The sequence below is a fragment of the Homo sapiens genome, chromosome 4, assembly GCF_000001405.40.
Source record: "Homo sapiens chromosome 4, GRCh38.p14 Primary Assembly".
Lineage (NCBI taxonomy): Eukaryota > Metazoa > Chordata > Mammalia > Primates > Hominidae > Homo > Homo sapiens.
In genome coordinates, this window is record NC_000004.12 from 87,697,447 (window position 1) to 87,721,703 (window position 24,257).

Consider the following 24,257-nt stretch of genomic DNA (forward strand, 5'->3'; position numbering starts at 1 on the left):
TGTTTAGTGTTAGAACAGCTCAGTGGAGAACTGCAGCAGGTAGCTCCTCTCTGAAGGCAAGTCTCCCCCTCTGGTTGAGTGTTCAGCTCTCAGCAGAGAGGAGGCCCTGGAGAGGGTAGCTCCTCTTCGCCCATTGGTTGTCCAGTCCTCTGCTGCTTCCAGCAGGGAGGAGGCCCTGGAGAGGGTGGCTCCTCTCCGTCCACTGGTCATTTGGACGTCTCTACAAACCTCTGAAGCTCTCAGCAGAGAGGATAACTCCTCTCTGCAGCTGATTGTCCCTTTGTCTCATCTTCTTCCCTCTCTGGCTGAACCCAGGGCTTTTATGGACCTCAGAGGAGAGGAAGTGTGTGCCCACTGGTCCTTGGGAGGCCATGGGTATCCAGAGGAGGCACCGCAAGTTCCCACTCTGGTCTGTGGGACTGGCAGGCTGGCCCCCAGCCTTCAGGCCCTCCCTAGCCTGAAGGAGAGGCCTTTACCAGGAACCCACCCCCACCTTCCACCCAGGAATCTGTGTGCCTCACACTGCCATTCATGGTCCTGGGGCTCAGCCCCAACCCTGCTTAGAGACTGGAGCAGGCACTGGGAGAGGAAAGAGGCCAGGCTGGGAGAGGAGAAAGGCTAAGCAGTGGAGCAGACACCCCCAGCCTGCAGGCACAGAGGGTATGGGGCTTCCTGGCCCCTGAGGGTGCAAGCTGCAGAGATGCCCAGGTTCTGTGCCTGTGCCTGGGAGGGCAGCGGCAGCTGCAGCTGCACCTGTGGAGCTCTGCCCCACCAACTCGGAAGGGGCAGGGCTCCCACTTGTCCCCATCTTCTGCCTGCTCCATGGAGCAGGAGGCCTGGATCTGCAGCTGGATTTGAGCAGCTGCAGTAGCACCAGGATAGCTCCTGCTCCAACTCAGAAGGGGCGGGGCTCCCACTGGCTCCTCGGAGCGTGCAGTCCCAGCTGTGCCTCCCTGCTGCAGCCAGCATTATGGTGGCTGAGTTTTGCCTGTTTTAGAACTTCATATTAGTAGAATCATACTGTATACTCCTTTGTGTCTGTGCTTTTTTTCATTCATAATGTTTCATGCGTCAGTAGCTCATCCCTTTTCATTGTCAATTTGTTATATGACTATTCCACTATGTCTCTGTCCACTTTTCTGTTGCGTAATATTTCAGTTGCTTCCAGTTTTTTGTTATTATGATGAAACTATGACTAAAAATATATTTTGGTCCTATACATAGGTATGATGGAGCTAACTCTCACTGGCTCAGTAGAGCTGATAATGGGTATCTCTTCCTAACTCTGTGTTCAGTGACATTATGTTGGTAGCTTAACATTGGCCACAGTGGGAGTATTTATGCCACAGAAATTGGCAATACTACAAATCAGGCTTTAAAAATTTTTCACTTTTATTAATTAATTTTAAAGTGGTGGTTAAACATTTATCAGAATACCACTGGATATATGTTTTCTTTCTTTTGAGTAGACACCTAGGAGTGGAATTGCTAAGTCCTATGTTCAACTTTATAAAGTTGATAGTTTTTCAAACTAGTATCATTTTACACTCTATCCAACAATGTGTGAGAGTTATAATCATTCTACATCATCGCCAGCACTTGATGTTGTTATTCATGAAAGATATCTGAAAATATCTTTATTTGCCTTTACTTTTAAAGAAAACTTTTGCTGGATTTAGAATTCTAATTTAATAATTTATTTTTTAGCATTTTAAAACTGCCATTCCAACTGTAGTGGTATCTCATTGTGGTTTTAATTTGCATTTATCAATAACTTTTGTGCTGAACATTTTTTCTGTGGGTATCGACCAGTGTATATCTTCTTTTGTCAACTTTCTGTTAAAGTTCTTTGCCCATTAATTTTATTGTGCTGTTTGTATTAGTGAGTCATAGAACTTCTATATATATATTCTGGATAGAAGTCTTTATCAGATATGTCTTGTGAATATTTTCTCATCTTTTCACATGTTGACAGTATCTTTTGATGATAGCAAATCTTGAAATAAGTAGTATAATCAATTTTGTTCTATTACAAGATTGTTTAAACTCTTCTAGATTATTCATATTTCCATATATAGTTTAGAATCAACTAGAAGTTGACTGGGATTGCATTGGGCCTATAGATTAATTTGAGGAGATTTGACACCAGCATTGTGCATCTGCTTGACATCTGTATCTTTCAGTCTATGCACATGGGATTCATAGATTGAATCTGTTTTTTAAGATCTCTGTTTTTAAAGACCTTCTTTCATTTCTCTCAGAAGTGTTTCATAGTTTTTAGCCAAGAAGTTATCATATCTTTTGTTACATTTATCCCTAAACATTTATGTGCCTTAATGTCTATCTAATGTCTATCTAGAGATGTTCATTCTTTGAGTTCTAATATTTGTCATTTGTATTATTTTCTCTCTTTTTTCTTCAGTCTAGTATAAGGCTTATCAAATTCATTAATGTTTCCAAAAAGCCAACTTTTGTTTTCATGGATTTTTCTGTATTGTGGGTCCCTTTTTAAAAAAAAAATTGATTGCTGCTCATAAATGAACAAATATTCTTTCAACTTAATTTCAGTTTAGTTTATGCCTGTTTTTTATCTTCTCTAAGTGAAAACATAAAACATGTATTTTAAATATTTTCTTATGTTTTAACATAAGCATTTAAAGCTGTATGTTTTACGTTAAGCACTGTTTTTAGCTATCTCTCAAATTATTTTCTAATCTTTTCTGGATTCTCTTACTTAAAATTATAGTATTTAGAAGTGGTTGCTTAAGTCCTAAACATGTAAGAACTTCTTTCTGATATGCTTTTCATTTACTTTTAATTTAATTCCATGTTAGTCAGATAACATGATTTTTAATATCTCTGTTTTGAAAGATCTTTCCTTTCTCCCAGCAATGTTTCATAGTTTTTAGCCAAGAAGGTATCATATCTTTTGTTAAATTTATGCCTAAACATTTATGGGAAATACTATACAGACATAGTATCCCACTTCAGAGCCAGGTGCGGTGGCTCACGCCTGTAATCTCAGCACTTTGGGAGGCCGAGGCGGGCGGATCACCTGAGGTCAGGAGTTCGAGAGCAGCCTGGCCAACATGGTGAAATCCCATCTCTACTAAAAATACAAAAATTAGCCAGGTGTGGTGGTTGGCACCTGTAATCATGGCTACTCAGGAGGCTGGGGCCTGAGACTTGCTTGAACTCGGGAGGTGGGGGTTGCAGTGAGCCAAGATCATGCCACTGCACTCCAGCTAAGGCAACAGAGCAAGATTCCATTTCAAAAATAAATAAATAAATAAATAAAACATACTCTGGAATACTCCAATTCTTTAAAATTTATTAAACCTTATTTTATGACCCAGTGCATGGCTCAGGTGTTGGATGTAGTGTTCTGTTAATGTCAGTTAGACTAAGTTGGTTGATAGTGTGGTCCAAATCAACATGCTTACTATTGTTTGTCTTTTATGCTTCCGTTACTGAGGGAGGAGTGCTACACTATCCAACCGCAATTGTAGGTTTGTCTATTTTTCTATTACCTTTGCCAGTTGTTGCTTCATTTATTTTAAAGTTCTATCATAAAGTACATACACTTTTAGCATGGTTATGTCTTCTTAATGTATTAACTGTTTTATCAAAATAAAATGTCTCTTTAGTGCTGGTAATATGCCTTGTTCTGAAGTGGGATACTATGTCTGATATTAATATAGCCTTTTCCAGCTCTTTATGATTAATGTTTACATGGTACATCTTTTTTTTTTTCCACTCTTTTACTTTTAACTTACGTATGTCTTTATGTTTGAGGAGAATTCCTTGAAACAGCATCTAATTAATTAGGTCTTGCCTCTATGCCTTTTGATTGATTGTTTAGTACCTGTGCACTTAACGTAATTCCTGATATGGTTAGGTTTAAGTCTACCACTTTACTATTTGTTTTCTAATTGGCCCATTTATCCCTTTTCTTTTTCCATCTTTTCCTTCCTTCATTTTAATTAAGCACTTCTTAGTATTACACTTCATCTCCTTTTTTCACTTATTATTTCATTGTTTCATTTATTTAGTTGTTTCCATAGGGAATACAATATACATTATTAACCTATCATAGTGTAACTTAAATTGATAGTATACCACTTTATATATAATGTAAAAACCATATATAAATATAATTCCACTTACCCTCCCCTCTTCTTTGTACCATTTGTCATATATTTTACTTCTATACATTATGAATCCCACAACACATTGTTATTACTTATGCTTCAAGCAGTCAGTTTTTTTAAAGAAATGAAGGAAATAGAAAATTGTGTAGTGCTCTTTCATTCATTCATGTAGATTTGAGTTTCTGCCAGGTACAATTTCCCCTTAACTGGAATGAGCTTATTTAACATTTCTTCTGGTGCAGGTCATCACTTTTGTTATCTGAAAATATCTTTATTTGCCTTACTTTTGAAGAAAACTTTTGCTGGATTTAGACTTCTAATTTAATAGTTTATTTTTTAGCATTTTAAAACTGCCATTCCATTGTTTTCTGGGTTGTATTGTTTCTGATGAGAAATTAATGGTTATTCTATTGTTACTTTCTTATATGTAATATGTTTTTTCTTCTAGATGTTTTGGAATGTTTATTTTTAATTTAATTTAAAGCAATTGTACTATGATATGCCTAGATGTGGTTTTCTTTGTGTTTATGCAGTTTTGTGGTTCATTCCTCAATTATGGCTTGATTCAGAAGTTGGGATTTTCAAAACCAAGTTTCTAAATGTTCACTTCTTGCTGAGAAAATAAATTAATGTCTTCAGGGGCATTAGTTATTTGGTGCTGAACAATATACTCTGTGGATTTGTGTTTTTCATTAAATTTGGGGAATTTTTGAACTGTTATTTCTTTTAACATGTTTTTTTCTTGTCGAAATCTCTTTTTCTTTCTAGGACTTCTATTCCACATATGTTAGAGGACTTTATAATAATCCACAGGTCACTGAAGCTATGTATATGTATATTTAGTCAGTCTTTTTTCTTTTTGCATTCTGTTCTTTAATTTGGATAGTTTCTATTTACCTGTCTTCAAGATCTTTTCTTTTACAGTATTCAAACTGCTGTTACAGTTAGCAAATTTTTAACTTTCAGATAATACATATTTTTAATTCTGTGATTTTCATTTGTTTCTGTCTCTTTGGTTTCTATTTATTTGCTGAGATTCCACATCTGTTCATCTGAAGTCTTTGTTTACTAATTCCACAATGAATGTCATCTCTAGGTTTGTTTCTATTGCCATTTCTTCCTCATATTTTTTAAAAATTCTCCATACGGCTAGTAATTTTTAATTTTTAAGCCTGACATGGGATGCTATATTGTTGAGCTTCTGAATTTATTTGTCTTCCTATGAAGAATATTGGATCTTATTCTGGCAGAGGATTAAGTTACTGGCAGCTCAGCTTGATTCTGCTGAGGGGCTTGGTTTTCAGCTTTGTTAGAGTAGGCCTAGAGTACACTTATGCCAGGGCTAGAGTAGTCCCTACTCCTAAATCATGATCTTTCTGGGGCCTCAATTTTGGGTTGTTGGCATTCCCCTGTCTCTCAGCACTATGTATTCTCTAGTATTTCCATTTAAGCCACAAAAAGCAGCCCAAAGTATCTGCTTTTTCCTAGGCCTCTTTGAATTGTACCATATGCATGCACAGGCATTCAGTCAAAGACTTAACAGAGGATATTGATGCAGATTCCTGGGGACTCTTGTCTGCTAAGCTCCTTTATTTCTGGTAACCTGAGATGCAAATTTCAGCTCCTTCAGTAGTCCTAAATTTCAATCTCCCTTTTATATGGCCAGCAAGACTGTTGCTGTCTGCTTAAACTCCACTTTTTGGGGTCACAGTTTGGAAATTACTCTCAGATAGTAAACTATAGTAAGTAAGGCATCCACCTATGCTTTATGTCTCTCTCAAGGATTATAGCCCTTGGCTGTCTGTTGACCAAAGCCTGGAAAAACTTGATTAATATATCTTATACAGTCTCACATATGTAAAAGTGGGAGAATAAGTCTAATATCTATTCCTTCCATCATGTCCAGGGCCAGAAGTTGGATTTTCAAAAATGTTCCCCACCAGCAATCTCTTCCAATTCCAGTTCCTTTCATAGACTGGTATTAGTGGAATGTTAGTTCAGCTTATTTGACAAGGACATGAAAAATGTTGGTCCACAAGACAGAAGCTTATTTCTGTTCCATGTAAATTCCTACTTGAATGGGAAGTTCCTTCTGTAAAGTTGCCAGGGGTCTGAAGTCCTTCTCTCTTGTGGATCTACTACTCCTCGAATCATGCTTATCTGAGAGGGCTCACTACTTTGCTCTTACTCTAATTTGTTGGAAGGGAGAAAAGCAGAAGGAAAGAGTACACCCTTTTCCTTGAAAAACATGAGCCATAAGCAGCACATTACTCAAACCCCAGAGCTTAGTCTACAATGGGGGCTGGGAAATGGACTTTTCATTCTGTACAACCATGGTCCCAGCTAACACTCAGGAGTTCTCTTATTAAAAAAGAAAGAAGAGATATTAAATACAAGTAGTATCACTGCCATGACACTACTTTCATTAGTGGATATGTATCTTAGAGACTCAGTAAAATACCATATTCTGTTCTTTTATTTAAATTAGATGTCAAGTTTCTATCTAGTTGAACTGGTGGAAAGTTCAACTTCACTCATTCTTAGCAGCCACTTCCCCGGCTGTGATTGTGCTGAGTGTCTAGGGGAGTATCAAGTTTTGGGAAGTCCCTCAAGTCATCGGTCATGAGGCTACACTGATTTCTGCTAAGATTGTAGCCCCAGCCTGTAGAGCTGCAGAGATCCTTCAATTTGATGCTCTGCTGCTCCTCGCCTCTCTTGGCATACAATATCTTCAATGAGCTACAGCCACAAGCCTAGGATCCTGCATGTCACATGCAGCATATGTCCATTTATCTGTACTGCTCTCAAACCATCAGCCTCAATCTAGTTCTCAATCCAGAAGAAAACTTTCTTTTTAGCCTGGGAAATCTCTCTCTCCTTCTCTCTCTCTCTTTTTCTCTTTGTATGTCTTGTTGTCCAAGAACCACCTCCTCAAACTATTCTTTCAGTGAATTTAGGGTTTTAAAAACAAAAGCCAGGAAGTCATGTCTCAAACTCTCCTCAAGGCAAGGAACATGTGAACCTCTTACCTATATGAATAGGGGAAGGGAAGAGGGAAAATAATGGGTAAAAACATACATTATTAACTAAAAGAAAAATACCACCAGAGTAGAGTGATTTCCTAAAATCAGCTCAGATGATGTTCTTTCTCTTTTTTTCTTTTTCTTCCTTTTCTTTTCTTTCTTTCTTTACTTTTTATTTTTTATTTTTTATTTGAAATGTAGTCTTGCTCTGCCACCCAGGCTGGGGTGCAGTTGTGCAATCTTGGCTCACTGCAACCTCCACCTCCTGGATTCAAGCGATTCTCCTACTTCAGCCTCCCAAGTAGCTGGGACTACAGGCACACACCACCACAACCTGCTAATTTTTGTATTTTTAGTAGAGATGGGGTTTCACCATGTTGGCCAGGCTGGTCTTGAACTCCTGACCTCAAATGATCCAACCACCTCATCCTCCCAAAGTGTTGGGATTACAGGCATGAACCACTGCCCCTGGCCTCAAATCATACCCTTTCATAGGTTATAGTTCTCCATTTTCTCCCCACCCCATCTCTTCATCACCTTGACATCCTAGTGAACAGCCAGATCCGCCTTCACTTAACAGCATAACTTGTCAGCAGGGAAAGTATGCCTTTTACAATTTGGATTCAATGAATGCATTTTTAGCTTCATCTTGTGCCAAACTGAAACTTTTCTATTTTGCTTTGTGACATTTTTTGCCTTTTATACTTCCAATTTCTTCTGCTTGATATCTCCTACATGGCCTGCTTTCCAATATTTCATCATGAAAATTTCTGTTCATACTTCAAGTCTGGCTAGAACACTGTTTCTGCTGGGAAGTTTCCCCTAGTACTTCCAGGCATCTTGGAGTATTTAGGTACCTGAGCCCTTTACAGTGCGCTCATGCACAGTTGAAGGCTCCCAGTAAATGAGACTCCTGTTCCAGACCCCCACTGCCTCTTAGTCTAAACAACACCTAGAATACTCATTGTTAAATGCCTGTTTCATGCACTGGATTGTGATCCTTTCAAGGGCAACATGATATCTTATCACAGATGTGTTCTTGCCTGACAGTATACGTGGCACATGAAGGTGCTGAAAGACACTGTATTAGTTTCCTAGGGCTGCTGTAACAAATTACCACAAACTGGTAACAACACAAATTGATTCTCTCCTAGTTCGGGAGGCTAGAAGTAGGAAGTCAAGGCTCTCAAGGGTCTCCCACTCTCTGTCTAGGGGAGAATACTTGCTTGCCTCTGCCAGCTTCTCACAGCACCTGCTGTTCCTTGGTTTGTGACTGCACACCTCCAGTCACTGCCTGCATCTTCACACAGGCTTCTCTTCCCTCTCTCCCTCTCTCTCTCTCTCTCTCTGTCTCTCTCTGTCTCTCTGTCTTCTCTTCTGCCTTTTATAAAGACACTTGTTGTTGGATTTAGGGCCCAGATGTAATCCAGGATGATGTTATCTCAAGACTCTTAACTATGTCTGCTGCAAAGACCCTTTTTCCAAAGAAGGCCACATTCACAGGTTCCAGTACACATATCTTTAGGCAGCCCACTAAAAATGCTTTTTAAATGAATGAGTAAATTAAAAAGTGAACTGTATATATACATGTATTTACATGCACAAACGATGAAGACAAGAGATATTACTTTTTTACATCTTTGTTACCTTCTATTTGTAAACTCACTTTGTAGATAATATATCATGCTTGTTGCTCTGTGCATGATGAGAGTTCTGTTACGTTAAGTAATCCCACAATTCAAAAATGAGTTGTTAAAGCAAAAGACACAATTTGGAAATCTATACAATCATTCTAACGATATTTTCTGACACAACTTTGTCTTTTTTCAAAAAAAGCATGTAAGACATAAATTGAGAGGTTACTATATGAATAAAAGAAGGGTTTTCAAATAGGCATTTCTACATATAGTCACCTTACTCTTGGTCCCTCAAAAAAAAGTCTACTTTTAAAAACAGGGCTGGTAAGACTGACCAGTGTTTCTTTTTGTGGAGAGTTATATTTGTATATTTTCACAAACAGAACAGGTTGGGCAGTTACAAACATAGAAAAATATAATGAAAAGATCCAGATTCATTTTGTTTGGTTTTAATATAGTCTTTTTCTCTTTCCACTTTCAATATGACTGAGAGATTTAATTTGAGTAATACCACAGGAATGTAGTTTCAAGAAGGAAAAATGTTCAAATAACCATCTCCCTCTTCCTCACTTAAAAAAAGAATAATTTGCTATAATATATGTTGAAAGGTTTTTGAGATATTTCCTTTTTGCTGGCATTTGTGTCCTTTCTTATGTAAGCAAATAAATAGAAAACATTGAAACTTAAATATATTTCTCAAAAGAGGGTTTTATGCAAAATACAATTGTTCTTTTTTTATTTCAAAACAATAGCACCAGTTAATATTATTATAAAAATAATAAATTTAATATGTGTATATCTTTTTTGCCCACTTCTATATTTTGTTTCTCAATGTGATTTCTTCTGAGATACATATTGGATTTTTCTGAGAAACTCATGAGTCTTTAAAAATAGCAGATTGGAAACATGGCGCATTGGATCCCAAGCCTTTACTTTGGGAGCACATGGGCAGCTGGGGCACCAGGACACTATTCTCAGTACTTAAGAAGGCCACAGCTTGGGGAAAGGGGGTATACAGAATTGTCACAGGCATGATCCTTCTGTTCAGTTTTCAGCAGAATTGACAGGCTCAAAATTACCTTTTCTCCTTCCCTGCAGCCTCTAAAAGCTTTGCATAGTCCCTTCACAATAATCCCCTTTTATATCAATCTCTCTCCTTTTTTCTTCAAGTCTTCCAGGTTGTTCTAGGACAGCCAAGATTCACAAGCAGTATATTGTCGCTTCTTTCCCTAGCACTAGAGGCAGACTTCGCTAATCAATCACAATATTCTTCCTTGTTAGGCCTAGATTGGGTCTCAAACACAGGCTTCCGGGGGCCATTTCCTTGCTCAAATTGTACAAGAGACACAGATTTTTGACATTTTTGCCCTAGTTCATGAGATGGTGTCCTTATCATGCGTAGCTCTTGCTAAACTCTTTCCCCAGGGAGGCAGTATCTTGCTTCCTGTAATCTCCTGCTGCTGAGAAGGCCCCTGCTTGGAATCACAGTTCCACCACCTGCCTAAAGCAGTGCCTGCTGCCTGGGCTCCCCCATACCCTGGCCTGCTTGCTGGATCAGAGTCCCTGGTAGAAAGCCCCTCCTTGGTCAGATCTGAGACTCCTACCCCTTTTGACTACTGTCTTGGATTCCATGGTGGGGTAAGTCTCTTCATCTAGGGGCCTTTTCCCTGCGCCTGGCCTCCCTGTTCTGGCTTCCACTGTATTTCTAGTGACTGGGATTCCTGGGATCTAGACACATTTTGTTCCAAAGGACCCCTGCTACAATGCTCAAAAATCAGTCCCAGTTGTTTCATTTACAATACACATTTTTGTTAGGATTAAATGCTGTAATTCTTATGAGACAATTAACATGGTTCCTATCACATAATAAGCACTCAATTAATATTAGCTACTATAAGTTCTGTTATAATTTTCATCGTCATCATCATCATCATGATCATTTCTATCAGGATCTCCATCTTAATTTGAGAAAGGCTTTTTCTGCAATAATCAGGAACAGGACAAGTCCCAGAGACCATCTGGCTGCTAATGGACTGGAGACAACATACCTAACAAGTGTTCAAATTGGAGCCCATAGCAAACATTAATGATGGTCATCTTTTACTGAGAGCTCTGTGTCAAGAACTTCCCACATAGTATCTTAATTAACCCCCATAACAACCAAATTGTGTGGGAGTTATAACTCCCATTTTATTGATGAGAAAACGCAGGATTAGTGAATCCCATGCCTAACAAAAACGATAGTGAAACTGATATCAGATCCAGCCCTTTTTAAACACAAAACTCCATTCTTTTTCTCTTGAACATGTTACTTCTCTACAAACAGCCTGAATCCTGAAAGCAGAGCTTACTTTCTGGGCTTCCAGCTAATCAAGTCTGGTCTTATGGCCTGCGTGTTTCCTGCCTAGCCATATCATTAGGTAATTCCCGAAACTTTCCTCTTGTATCCTTACCTTTTGTTTTCTTTCTTCTCCTCTTCTAATCTGGCAGCCACACTCCTACTTCTATTTGTTCTTAGCCACTCTGGTTCCAATTTGCACCATCAGCCCTAAAGATCCAAACCAAGCTTAAATCCTCCATTTAGTCTGCTTAGACTATTATAGCCCACTTTCAAGTGATTTAACCCTCTCCTTCAAATTCCTTTTACTCTCTTGTTATCTGCATTTAGTGCCACACAATTATTATTCTTAGTTATTGCCTAATTATTTCAAATGTGCATTCATTCAACTACTACATGTTTAAATACATATTATAAATCAGAAACTGAGTTAAGCAACATATATGGAGATATATAGACAAGTATGCTATTACAAAACCCTTAAGGTAATATTAGTTGAGCAAATAAGAAATATAGACAAATAGTTATAGTAGTGTTTTGAGTTTAAAAAGTACCATGAGAAATAAAGACAGCTAAAAGAATTCAGACAAGGGAAGGCTTACTTCTACCACGAAGGGAATGAGGAAGAAATAATGATTCATTTAACTGAGGTAGAAGATTCTGATACCGAGAGAGAGAGCACTCTGGCAGGCACTGCCTGACACAGGCGTGGAGTCTGGTGAGGGCACTATCAAGGACTAATGAGCCACTGTCGTCTAACTGTGCTTTAGAGTGTCTGGAGGAGAACTGTGGGATAGTGTACATGGAGGAAGTCCTTAAATACCATGTAATGGTATCACTGGTTAAAAGAGGGGGTCACTGGAAATTTTTGAAATGATATAGTCAGAACTGTTGTTTTTGCCGGGTGCAGTGGCTCACACCTGTAATCCCAACATTTTGGGAGGCTGAAGTAGGTGGTTTGCTTGAGCCGAGTAGTTCGATACCAGCCTGGGCAACACAGCAAAACCCTGTCTCTACAAAAGATACAAAAATGAGCTGAGCATGGTGTTCATGCCTGTGGTCCCAGCTACTCGAGAGGCTGAGGTGCGAGGATCACCCGACGAGGCTGCAGTGAGCCATCATGGCGCTGCTGCACTCCAGCCTGGGCAACAAGTGAGACTTTGTCTCAAAACAGAACAAAACAAAATTGTTGTTTTGCATCCCTCCCCCTAATTAACAGAAAGTCTATTAAAGTTTAAAATCATGTTTTCATATTTCATTCACATTTCCTTAGAACTTGGCACAACTGTGGACACAAATAAATATTTAATAAATAACCAGTGACTGATAAGAAGCAGTTACATATTATAGCTCTTTTATATATTTGCTTATCAATTTTCATGTTCATTTTAATTCTAACTAAAAAGAAACTAGAATTTTTTAAATTAAAAAGTGTAGAGTCTAATTAGGTGGCATGATATTTAAGCAAAACAGCCCTTTGCCTCTGAATCAGTCCACTGACCTACAGATACCATTACAGGTGTTAACTTCAGCTTCAAAAATATTTGTTATAAGATGGTAAACTCCAGATAAAACATTCCTTAAAACATGACTTTAGTATTCATTATATTACCTCATTTTTTCTCCAGTATGGATTTTTAAAATTTGTTTGCAGAAATTTTTTTCCCCAAATCTTACCAAGTATCTGGAAAATCTTGTCTTAGCCTTTATCTTTGGTTTTAAAAGTGTGATTCAAATCATTTTACATACTCACTTTTAACGTTATGAAAAAGCTATCAGGGACAGGAGCCAAGATGGCCGAATAGGAACAGCTCCGGTCTACAGCTCCCAGCGTGAGCGACGCAGAAGATGGTGATTTCTGCATTTCCATCTGAGGTACCGGGTTCATCTCACTAGGGAGTGCCAGATAGTGGGTGCAGGTCAGTGGGTGCGCGCACCGTGCGCGAGCCGAAGCAGGGCGAGGCATTGCCCCACTTGGGAAGCGCAAGGGGTCAGGGAGTTCCCTTTCCGAGTCAAAGAAAGGGGTGACGGACGCACCTGGAAAATCGGGTCACTCCCACCCGAATACTGCGCTTTTCCGACTGGCTTAAAAAATGGGGCACCACAAGATTATATCCCGCACCTGGCTCGGAGGGTCCTACGCCCACGGAGTCTCGCTGATTGCTAGCACAGCAGTTTGAGATCAAACTGCAAGGTGGCAGCGAGGCTGGGGGAGGGGCGCCCGCCATTGCCCAGGCTTGCTTAGGTAAACAAAGCAGCCAGGAAGCTCCAACTGGGTGGAGCCCACCACAGCTCAAGGAGGCCTGCCTGCCTCTGTAGGCTCCACCTCTGGGGGCAGGGCACACACAAACAAAAAGACAGCAGTAACCCCTGCAGACTTAAATGTCCCTGTCTGACAGCTTTGAAGAGAGCAGTGGTTCTCCCAGCACGCAGCTGGAGATCTGAGAATGGGCAGACTGCCTCCTCAAGTGGGTCCCTGACCCCTGACCCCCGAGCAGCCTAACTGGGAGGCACCCCCCAGCAGGGGCACACTGACACCTCACACAGCAGGGTATTCCAACAGACCTGCAGCTGAGGGTCCTGTCTGTTAGAAGGAAAACTAACAAACAGAAAGGACATCCACACCAAAAACCCATCTGTACATCACCATCATCAAAGACCAAAAGTAGATAAAACCACAAAGATGGGGAAAAAACAGAACAGAAAAACTGGAAACTCTAAAAAGCAGAGCACCTCTCCTCCTCCAAAGGAACGCAGTTCCTCAGCAGCAACGGAACAAAGCTGGATGGAGAATGACTTTGACGAGCTGAGAGAAGAAGGCTTCAGACGATCAAATTACTCTGTGCTACGGGAGGACATTCAAACCAAAGGCAAAGAAGTTGAAAACTTTGAAAAAAATTCAGAAGAATCTATAACTAGAATAACCAATACAGAGAAGTGCTTAAAGGAGCTGATGGAGCTGAAAACCAAGGCTCGAGAACTATGTGAAGAATGCAGAAGCCTCAGGAGCTGATGTGATCAACTGGAAGAAAGGGTATCAGTGATGGAAGATGAAATGAATGAAATGAAGTGAGAAGGGAAGTTTAGAGAAAAAAGAATAAAAAGAAATGAGCAAAGCCTCCAAGAAATATGGGACTATGTGAAAAGACCAAATCTACGTCTGATTGGTGTACCTGAAAGTGATGGGGAGAGTGGAACCAAGTTGGAAAACACTCTGCAGGATATTATCCAGGAGAACTTCCCCAATTTAGCAAGGCAGGCCAATGTTCAAATTCAGGAAATACAGAGAACGCCACAAAGATACTCCTCGAGAAGAGCAACTCCAAGACACATAATTGTCAGATTGACCAAAGTTGAAATGAAGGAAAAAATGTTAAGGGCAGCCAGAGAGAAAGGTCGGGTTATCCACAAAGGGAAGCCCATCAGACTAACAGCAGATCTCTTGACAGAAACACTATCAGCCAGAAGAGAGTGGGGACCAATAATCAACATTCTTAAAGAAAAGAATTTTCAACCCAGAATTTCATATCCAGCCAAACTAAGCTTCATAAGTGAAGGAGAAATAAAATCCTTTACAGACAAGCAAACGCTGAGAGATTTTTGTCACCACCAGGCCTGCCCTAAAAGAGCTCCTGAAGGAAGCGCTAAACATGGAAAGGAACAACAGGTACCAGCCGCTGCAAAATCATGCCAAAATGTGAAGACCATCAAGACTAGGAAGAAACTGCATCAACTAACAAGCAAAATAACCAGCTAACATCATAATGACAGGATCAAATTCACACATCACAATATTAACTTTAAATGTAAATGGACTAAATGCTCCAATTAAAAGACACAGACTGGCAAATTGGATAAAGAGTCAAGACCCATCAGTGTGCTGTATTCAGGAAACCCATCTCACATGCAGAGACACACACAGGCTCAAAATAAAAGGATGGAGGAAGATCTACCAGCAAATGAAAAACAAAAAAAGGCAGGGGTTGCAATCATAGTCTCTGATAAAACAGACTTTAAACCAACAAAGATCAAAAGAGACAAAGAAGGCCATTACATAATGGTAAAGGGATCAATTCAACAAGAAGAGTTAACTATCCTAAATATATATGCACCCAATACAGGAGCACCAAGATTCATAAAGCAAGTCCTGAGTGACCTACAAAGAGACTTAGACTCCCACACATTAATAATGGGAGACTTTAACACCCCAATGTCAACATTAGACAGATCAATGAGACAGAAAGTCAACAAGGATACCCAGGAATTGAACTCAGCTCTGCACCAAGTGGACCTAATAGACATCTACAGAACTCTCCACCCCAAATCAACAGAATATACATTTTTTTCAGCACCACACCACACCTATTCCAAAATTGACCACATACTTGGAAGTAAAGCTCTCCTCAACAAATGTAAAAGAACAGAAATTATAACAAACTATCTCTCAGACCACAGTGTAATCAAACTAGAACTCAGGATTAAGAATCTCACTCAAAACCGCTCAACTACATGGAAACTGAACAACCTGCTCCTGAATGACTACTGGGTACATAACGAAATGAAGGCAGAAATAAAGATGTTCTTTGAAACCAACGAGAACAAAGACACAACATACCAGAATCTCTGGGACACATTCAAAGCAGTGTGTAGAGGGAAATTTATAGCGCTAAATGCCCACAAGAGAAAGCAGGAAAGACCTGAAATTGACACCCTAACATCACAATTAAAAGAACTAGAAAAGCAAGAGCAAACACATTCAAAAGCTAGCAGAAGGCAAGAAATAACTAAAATCAGAGCAGAACTGAAGGAAATAGAGACACAAAAAACCCTTCAAAAAATTAATGAATCCAGGAGCTCGTTTTTTGAAAGGATCAACAAAATTGATAGACTGCTAGCAAGACTAACAAAGAAAAAAAGAGAGAAGAATCAAATAGACACAATAAAAAATGAGAAAGGGGATATCACCACCGATCCCACAGAAATACAAACTACCATCAGAGAATACTACAAACACCTCTATGCAAATAAACTAGAAAATCTAGAAGAAATGGATAAATTCCTTGACACATACACTCTCCCAAGACTAAACCAGGAAGAAGTTGAATCTCTGAATGGACCAATAACAGGATCTGAAATTGTAGCAATAATCAATAGCTTACCAACCAAAAAGAGTCCAGGACCAGATGGATTCACAGCCGAATTCTACCAGAGGTACAAGGAGGAACTGGTACCATTCCTTCTGAAACTATTCCAATCAATAGAAAAGAGGGAATCCTCCCTAACTCTTTTTATGAGGCCAGCATCATTCTGATACCAAAGCCTGGCAGAGACACAACCAAAAAAGAGAATTTTTGACCAATATCCTTGATGAACATTGATGCAAAAATCCTCAATAAAATACTGGCAAACCAAATCCAGCAGCACATCAAAAAGCTTATCCACCATGATCAAGTGGGCTTCATCCCTGGGATGCAAGGCTGGTTCAATATACGCAAATCAATAAATGTAATCCAGCATATAAACAGAGCCAAAGACAAAAACCACATGATTATCTCAATAGATGCAGAAAAGGCCTTTGACAAAATTCAACAACGCTTCATGCTAAAAACTCTCAATAAATTAGGTATTGATGGGACGTATTTCAAAATAATAAGAGCTATCTATGACAAACCCACAGCCAATATCATACTGAATGGGCAAAAACTGGAAGCATTCCCTTTGAAAACTGGCACAAGACAGGGATGCCCTCTCTCACCACTCCTATTCAACATGGTGTTGGAAGTTCTGGCCAGGACAATTAGGCAGGAGAAGGAAATAAAAGTTATTCAATTAGGAAAAGAGGAAGTCAAATTGTCCCTGTTTGCAGATGACATGATTGTATATCTAGAAAACCCCATCGTCTCAGTCCAAAATCTCCTTAAGCTGATAAGCAAATTCAGCAAAGTCTCAGGATACAAAATCAATGTACAAAAATCACAAGCATTCTCATACACCAACAACAGACAAACAGAGAGCCAAATCATGAGTGAACTCCCATTCACAATTGCTTCAAAGAGAATCAAATACCTAGGAATCCAACTTACAAGGGATGTGAAGGACCTCTTCAAAGAGAACTACAAACCACTGCTCAAGGAAATAAAAGAGGATACAAACAAATGGAAGAACATTCCATGCTCATGGGTAGGAAGAATCAATATCGTGAAAATGGCCATACTGCCCAAGGTAATTTACAGATTCAATGCCATCCCCATCAAGCTACCAATGCCTTTCTTCACAGAATTGGAAAAAACTACTTTAAAGTTCATATGGAACCAAAAAAGAGCCCACATCGCCAAGTCAATCCTAAGCCAAAAGAAAAAAGTTGGAGGCATCACACTACCTGACTTCAAACTATACTACAAGGCTACAGTAACCAAAACAGCATGGTACTGGTACCAAAACAGAGATATAGATCAATGGAACAGAACAGAGCCCTCAGAAATAAGGCAGCATATCTACAACTATCTGATCTTTGACAAACCTGAGAAAAACAAGCAATGGGGAAAGGATTCCCTATTTAATAAATGGTGCTGGGAAAACTGGCTAGCCATATGTAGAAAGCTGAAACTGGATCCCTTCCTTACACCTTATACAAAAATCAATTCAAGATGGATTAAAGACTTAAACGTTAGACCTAAAACCATAAAAACCCTAGAAGAAAACCTAGGCATTACCATTCAGGACATAGGCATGGGCAAGGACTTCATGTCTAAAACACCAAAAGCAATGGCAACAAAAGACAAAATTGACAAATGGGATCTAATTAAACTAAAGAGCTTCTGCACAGCAAAAGAAACTACCATCAGAGTGAACAGGCAACCTACAAAATGGGAGAAAATTTTCGCAACCTACTCATCTGACAAAGGGCTAATATCCAGAATCTACAATGAACTCACACAAATTTACAAGAAAAAAACAAACAACCCCATCAAAAAGTGGGTGAAGGACATGAACAGACATTTCTCAAAAGAAGACATTTATGCAGCCAAAAAACACATGAAAAAATGCTCATCATCACTGGCCATCAGAGAAATGCAAATCAAAACCACAATGAGATACCATCTCACACCAGTTAGAATGGCAATCATTAAAAAGTCAGGAAACAACAGGTGCTGGAGAGGATGTGGAGAAATAGGAACACTTTTACACTGTTGGTGGGACTGTAAACTAGTTCAACCCTTGTGGAAGTCAGTGTGGCAATTCCTCAGGGATCTAGAACTGGAAATGCCATTTGACCCACCATCCCATTACTGGGTATATACCCAAAGGACTATATATCATGCTGCTATAAAGACACATGCACACGTATGTTTATTGCGGCATTATTCACAATAGCAAAGACTTAGAACCAACCCAAATGTCCAATAATGATAGACTGGATTAAGAAAATGTGGCACATATACACCATGGAATACTATGCAGCCATAAAAAATGATGAGTTCATGTCCTTTGTAGGGACATGGATGAAATTGGAAATCATCATTCTCAGTAAACTATCGCAAGAACAAAAAACCAAACACCGCATATTCTCACTCATAGATGGGAATTGAACAATGAGATCACATGGACACAGGAAGGGGAATATCACACTCTGGGGACTGTTGTGGGGTGGGGGGAGGGGGGAGGGATAGCATTGGGAGATATACCTAATGCTAGATGACGAGTTAGTGGGTGCAGCGCACCAGCATGGCACATGTATACATATGTAACTAACCTGCACAATGTGCACATGTACCCTAAAACTTAAAGTATAATTAAAAAAAAATATATATATATATATATAAAAAGAAAAAGCTATCAGTTGGAGAGGATGTTTTCACCAAGGCAAATCAACAGAACTGGCGGTTTGGACAAGACCAGAAAGTCCAGGGAAACTAATGACGCACACTCTACTCCTGGCACACATGACTGTAGAAGCATCCAGGCTATTCAAAGGCCGTGAAAACAAACAAGTAAAACAGGCTTCCGTTTCCTCTGAGGATTCCCCCATTGGAACCAAACACATCTTCCCAAGGCCAAGAATAAGGAGCTGAAAGACTGAAAGGATTTGGTTATTAGTTTGTACAAACCAGTTTCTTTGTAGAAGGCACTTTTGTTTGAGTGGGAAAGATTTTTTTTCTTGCAGATTTTGCTGAGAAGTCATTGATTTGATCTGTGATCCTATGTGTACCTAGTCCAGAAGTCAGCCAAGAGGACTCTCATGTCTCTGATGAGAGGTAGAATTCTGGAGGAAATGCACACCATTGTAGGTAGAGGTGGCCTGTTTACAGTTTATCCTGCCCAGAGTAAAAATGTACCTTCCTGGACTAAATTCCTTATTACTGGTCAGTTATAAAATATGCGTAAGGTAAAATGAATTTCTGCCCAGATAATAGTTTAGGAGAAACAAGTAATTATAGGGATGTTTGGAACATTTATTTATAACTATGGAAACTTTCTTCATAAAAACTCAAAGTTCCCTCAGGAGAGGCTGCTGGAATGGTTGGATCTACTTTATTTGCCAGCAAGATTTAGCAGGTTGTGTTATTTGCAAATATATTCTTTATTAGGGTGAAACTATGTGTTTATTTTCAAATTTTCATCAATATTTCTTGCTTCTTTTCACTTGTCAAACTATCCTTGTTGCTTGTACAGGAGAGTACTGTGTGTACAGAGAGTTTTGTATACTTGAGAAATTGTTTGGTCTGCTCTTTTGGAAAAATAATTACACAGAGTGTCCAATACAGATATTAACAGTGGCGACATCTAGTCCTGCAGGAATGCAGGGTCAGGAGAGATTTGTTTGAGCTGTTCTTAGTGCATAAAAGACTATGTAGTTTTTTTTCTAAGCTCAGGAAGGACTATAGTTGCAAAGTGAGTCAACATCCTGCAGCATCCCACAGTGTATCAGGCTGAGACGTTATATTTTCTTTCTTGTATGTGGTACTGTCTATAGTGTCTTCCTTCTTTCTAAATATGCTCTTCCCAGACAGAGTTGGTCTAGTGGTTGTTTGTACTGCGTGGTTTTGAGGGGGGTTAAGAATAGCAAGTCCAAGTACATTATTATTATTTCAACCTTCTCTTGAAAAGAAAATGCCATGCAGTGTATGCATTTGCTTTTATGAAGTAAAAATGGTAATTCCCAGTAGAACTACACTGTGGAGGATGGGAAACAGATGCTTTGGTCAGCCTCAGGGACTGACCGTAACATACTGTGGAAATACGAAAGAGTAAGAAACGAATTGCATAATCTTCTGACTTTAATGAGCTGATTGACCCAGATGGCATGCGTGCACCTTGTTTCAACAATATTTTGCTAACACAATTTTGGGCTGGTTTCCCACTGCTATAAGGAGTTGGGGGACATTCTGAAATAATTGATTCTGTCCACCTGTTTTGGCTTAACACTTTGGTGGGAAATTGGTGTCATGGAGAGGAACCCTTCATTTAGATAAAGAAAAGCAAAGACTTGAAGGAATGACCAAATAATACCCAAATAGTCAGATGATGAGTTTGTTGCAAACACCGAGAAATCTTTAATGTTTCCATGGTGTGGGCTGGCATGTGTCTTAGGCTGAACTCCCCAGAAACAGAGCTTGAGAAAAGGATTTGAGTAAAAATACCTTATTCATAAGACATCCCAGGAAGCAGAGGTAGGAGTGTGGGAAATTTCGATGGAAAGCGGAAGGGAGCCAATAATAAAGATTATGTCATCCAGCAGATACTGAAGCAGGTCACTGGGGCTCAGTCCTTCTGAGGAATTCCGGGAAGCAGTGAGGAACAGGCTCAGAGTTGTCCAACTCAAGGAGCCAAGGAAGCTGGGTCAGGGGTGGGCGGTGGTATCTATGAGCTTTCAACCTTCATTGGTTGAGAACTGCCCTTGGGGACATTAACTCCTCAGGACTTCCTGCTTGCCCTGAGCAAGGCTAGAGCATTCTCCTACAACCTGAAAGAACCCCCAGGGAGAGAGCTGCATTGTCTTTGGCTAGTACAGAAATCAGAGTTATTGGTTAGATGCAGACAGTATCTGTTGCAGAATGCTAATGACTTATTTACCCAAGGAAGATAAAAAAGCAAATGGATATGCTGATATAAATGAATAAATGAATATATTGAAATTTTGTTGAGGGATGTTATATTCACATGGTTTCAACTTACTTTATTACGAAATACTTATTAGTTAAAAAGAAAAAAACAGTATAGTACAGAAGCCTTGCAAACCACCTTAATCAAGTAATCAAAGCTAACATAACCAATCATGAGACACATCAAAACCATGTGCCACCTGACAGACACAACGAGAACACAGAATTGCTTTTATGATGTTGCTGCCAAAGAAGCATGATCTGACTCTGCTTCTGAAGGAATATCAGATGAACTGAACTGCAGGGATATTCCACCATATGGAACCGGATCTGTCACCTTTAAAAATGTCAAAGTCAATAAAAAAGAAAACAAGTTTTTCTTATCCTCACAACATTTCTGACGCCAAAAGTATGATTTTCCCCCCACATCAACTAATTCTCTAATTTTCACCACACACCGAGTGTCCTACAATTTAACTCAATTCTGACCCTACCCAGAGTTAGCACAGACCCCAGAGACTAAAGGCTCAGTCCCACAGAATTGTCCTCCTACCTCAGATGCCAGTAGAAAGCAGTGGCTTCCTAGGTTACCCACTAATTCTGTCTGACTTGGCTACAAATTGGAGGTTGCCACAACTCCATCCTTAGGTTCATAATTTGCTAGAACATCTCGCAGAACCTAGGTAACTGTTTACTAACAATTACTGATTTACTACAAAAGACATTTTAAAGGATACAAATGAGCAGCCAGATAACAGATGCATAGGACAAGGTCTAGGAAAGTCCCAAGCACAGGAGCTTCTGTCCCCATGGAGTTTGAGGTCTGCTGCTCTCCTGGCACATACATGTGTTCCTGCTCAACCTGGAAGCTCTCTTAATCCCATTGTTTAGGATTTTTCTTTTAAAGAGGTTCCATTAGGTTGGCATGATTGATTAAATCATTGACCATTGGTCATTGAACTCAATCTCCAGCCCTTCTCCCCTCACAGGAGACTGGAGGATGAGGCTGAAATTTTCAACCCTCTAATCACAAGGTTGGTTCCTCTGGCAACCAGCCCTGATCCTCCAAGAATTGCCTCATTAGCATAAACTCAGGTATGGTTGAAAGAGGCTTTTATGAACAACAAAAAAGATTCCTCTCACCGCTATATAACCCAAGAAATTCTAAGGGTTTTAGAAGCTCTGTGCCAGGAACCTGAAGTAAGGACCAAATATATAGAGAGAGACTATATATATATATATATATATAGAGAGAGAGAGAGAGAGAGACTATATATCTATATCTATATCTATATCTATATCTATATAGTCAGAGTCATGAAAGTCAAGGAAAGACTGAGGAACTGTATCAGATTGAAGGTGCCTATGGAGAAATGACAACTCAGTGTAGCATGTGATCTGGACTAGATACTTTTTCTATACAGGATATTATTGGAGCAACTGGAAAAGTTGAATGGAGTCTTGAGGTTAGTTGTAGTGACATATCAATGTTAATTTCCTATATAATATTGATGCTGTATGTGGGTATATAGGACAGTGTTCTTGTTAGTAGGAATTACACACTAAAGGATTCAGAGGTCATGGGGCATACTGGCAACTTATTCTCGAATGGTTCAGGGTAAAACAGTCTTTCTTGCACCATTTGTGTAACTTTTCTGCAAGCTTGAAATTGTTTCAAATTAAACAGTTTTTAAGAGTAAATGATTAAAGAATCAAGGCACAATTATGTAAACTTTATCCACCCCTTTTTCCTTTTAAAGAGTCTCTCCTTGATGGTGGGTAGTCCCATGGACAGCAGCATTGCACTACTACTAAGGACCATAGAGCCAAATTGAACAATAGGTACCAGAGCTCCAGCTAAACTCTAGCCTGGTTGAGTAGTATTTTCATTTTGAATAGCTACAAGAGAACTACCTGATGTCACTATTGATACTGAGGATGAATCTCCTTCCCAAATGTTTTTCTAAAACAAGTGAGAAATTTCATGGCTATTTTTAAACTAAGTTGAAAGAAGGAAAGGTAGGGATCGTGAGGGACACCATGGTACATGCTTGAATTTATAGGTGTGAGAATTTTTGTCAACATCTTTTGATAATAAATAACAGCTATCCTTTTATACAAGGATATTAGTATGTAAGAAGCAGGAGGTTAATACAGCTTACAATATCTAGAAATTCCCTAATTTCCTTTCCTTCCTTCCTTCCTTCCTTTCTTCCTTCCTTCTTTCCTTCTTTCCTTCCTTTCTCCTTCCCTCCCTCCCTCCCTTCCTCTCTTACTTTTTCTTTCTTTCTTTTTTTTGAGGCAGGGTCTCACTCTGTCACCCAGGCTGGAGTGCAGTGGCTCACTACAATCTCAGTTCACTGTAGCCTCAACCTCCCAGGCTCAAGCAATCCTCCCACCTCAGCCTCCCAAGTAGCTGGGACCACAGGTGTATGCCACCATATCCAGATAATTTTTGTATTTTTTTCTAGAGCCAGGATTTTGCCATGTTGCCCAGGCTGGTCTTGAACTCCTCAGCTCAAGTGATCTGCCCCAAAAGTGCTGGGATTACAGGATTCCCTACTTTTGTTAGAGAAATAATAATTGTGTCAATACTTAGCATGATCCTCCTTTGCATAGATGTAATGGGATTGAGCCAGATAGAGTAAGAAGGCAACAATACATTGTCTCATCATTGAATATAATGAGAAATACCTTCCCTGTACTTCCCAGATGTTGGAATACATATTCAGATCTGCAGTTCATGAGGAAAATAAATTTCTGAGCAATTATTTTTTGAGACAGGATCTGGCTCTGTCACTCAGGCTGGAGTGCCGAGAGATGATAGCTCACTGTAACCTGGAACTTCTGGGCTTAAGCTATCCTCTCTCCTCAGCTTCCCAAATAGCTGAAACTACAGGCATGTGCCACCAGGCTAATTTAAAAAATTTTTTTTTGTAGAGACAGGGTCTTGCTATGTTGCTCAGGGTAGTCTTGAACTCTTGGCCTCAAATGATTCTCCTGCC

General features: G+C 39.5%; 1 long non-coding RNA gene across 1 annotated transcript in view, besides 1 other annotated feature; it reads right to left on the reverse strand.

The window, feature by feature from the left end:
• DMP1-AS1 (DMP1 and DSPP antisense RNA 1) overlaps positions 1 to 24,257 on the reverse strand; it is a 164,356-nt gene that overhangs the window by 129,388 nt on the left and 10,711 nt on the right. The gene's annotated exons all lie outside the window — the stretch shown is intronic.
• Positions 13,217 to 13,819: an enhancer, noted in NCBI's record as "NANOG-H3K27ac-H3K4me1 hESC enhancer chr4:88631815-88632417 (GRCh37/hg19 assembly coordinates)". NCBI's record gives its function as "activates a minimal SCP1, AML or CMV promoter by ChIP-STARR-seq in primed H9 embryonic stem cells {active_cell/tissue: H9 hESC(primed)}" and the evidence as "EXISTENCE:reporter gene assay evidence [ECO:0000049][PMID:30033119]".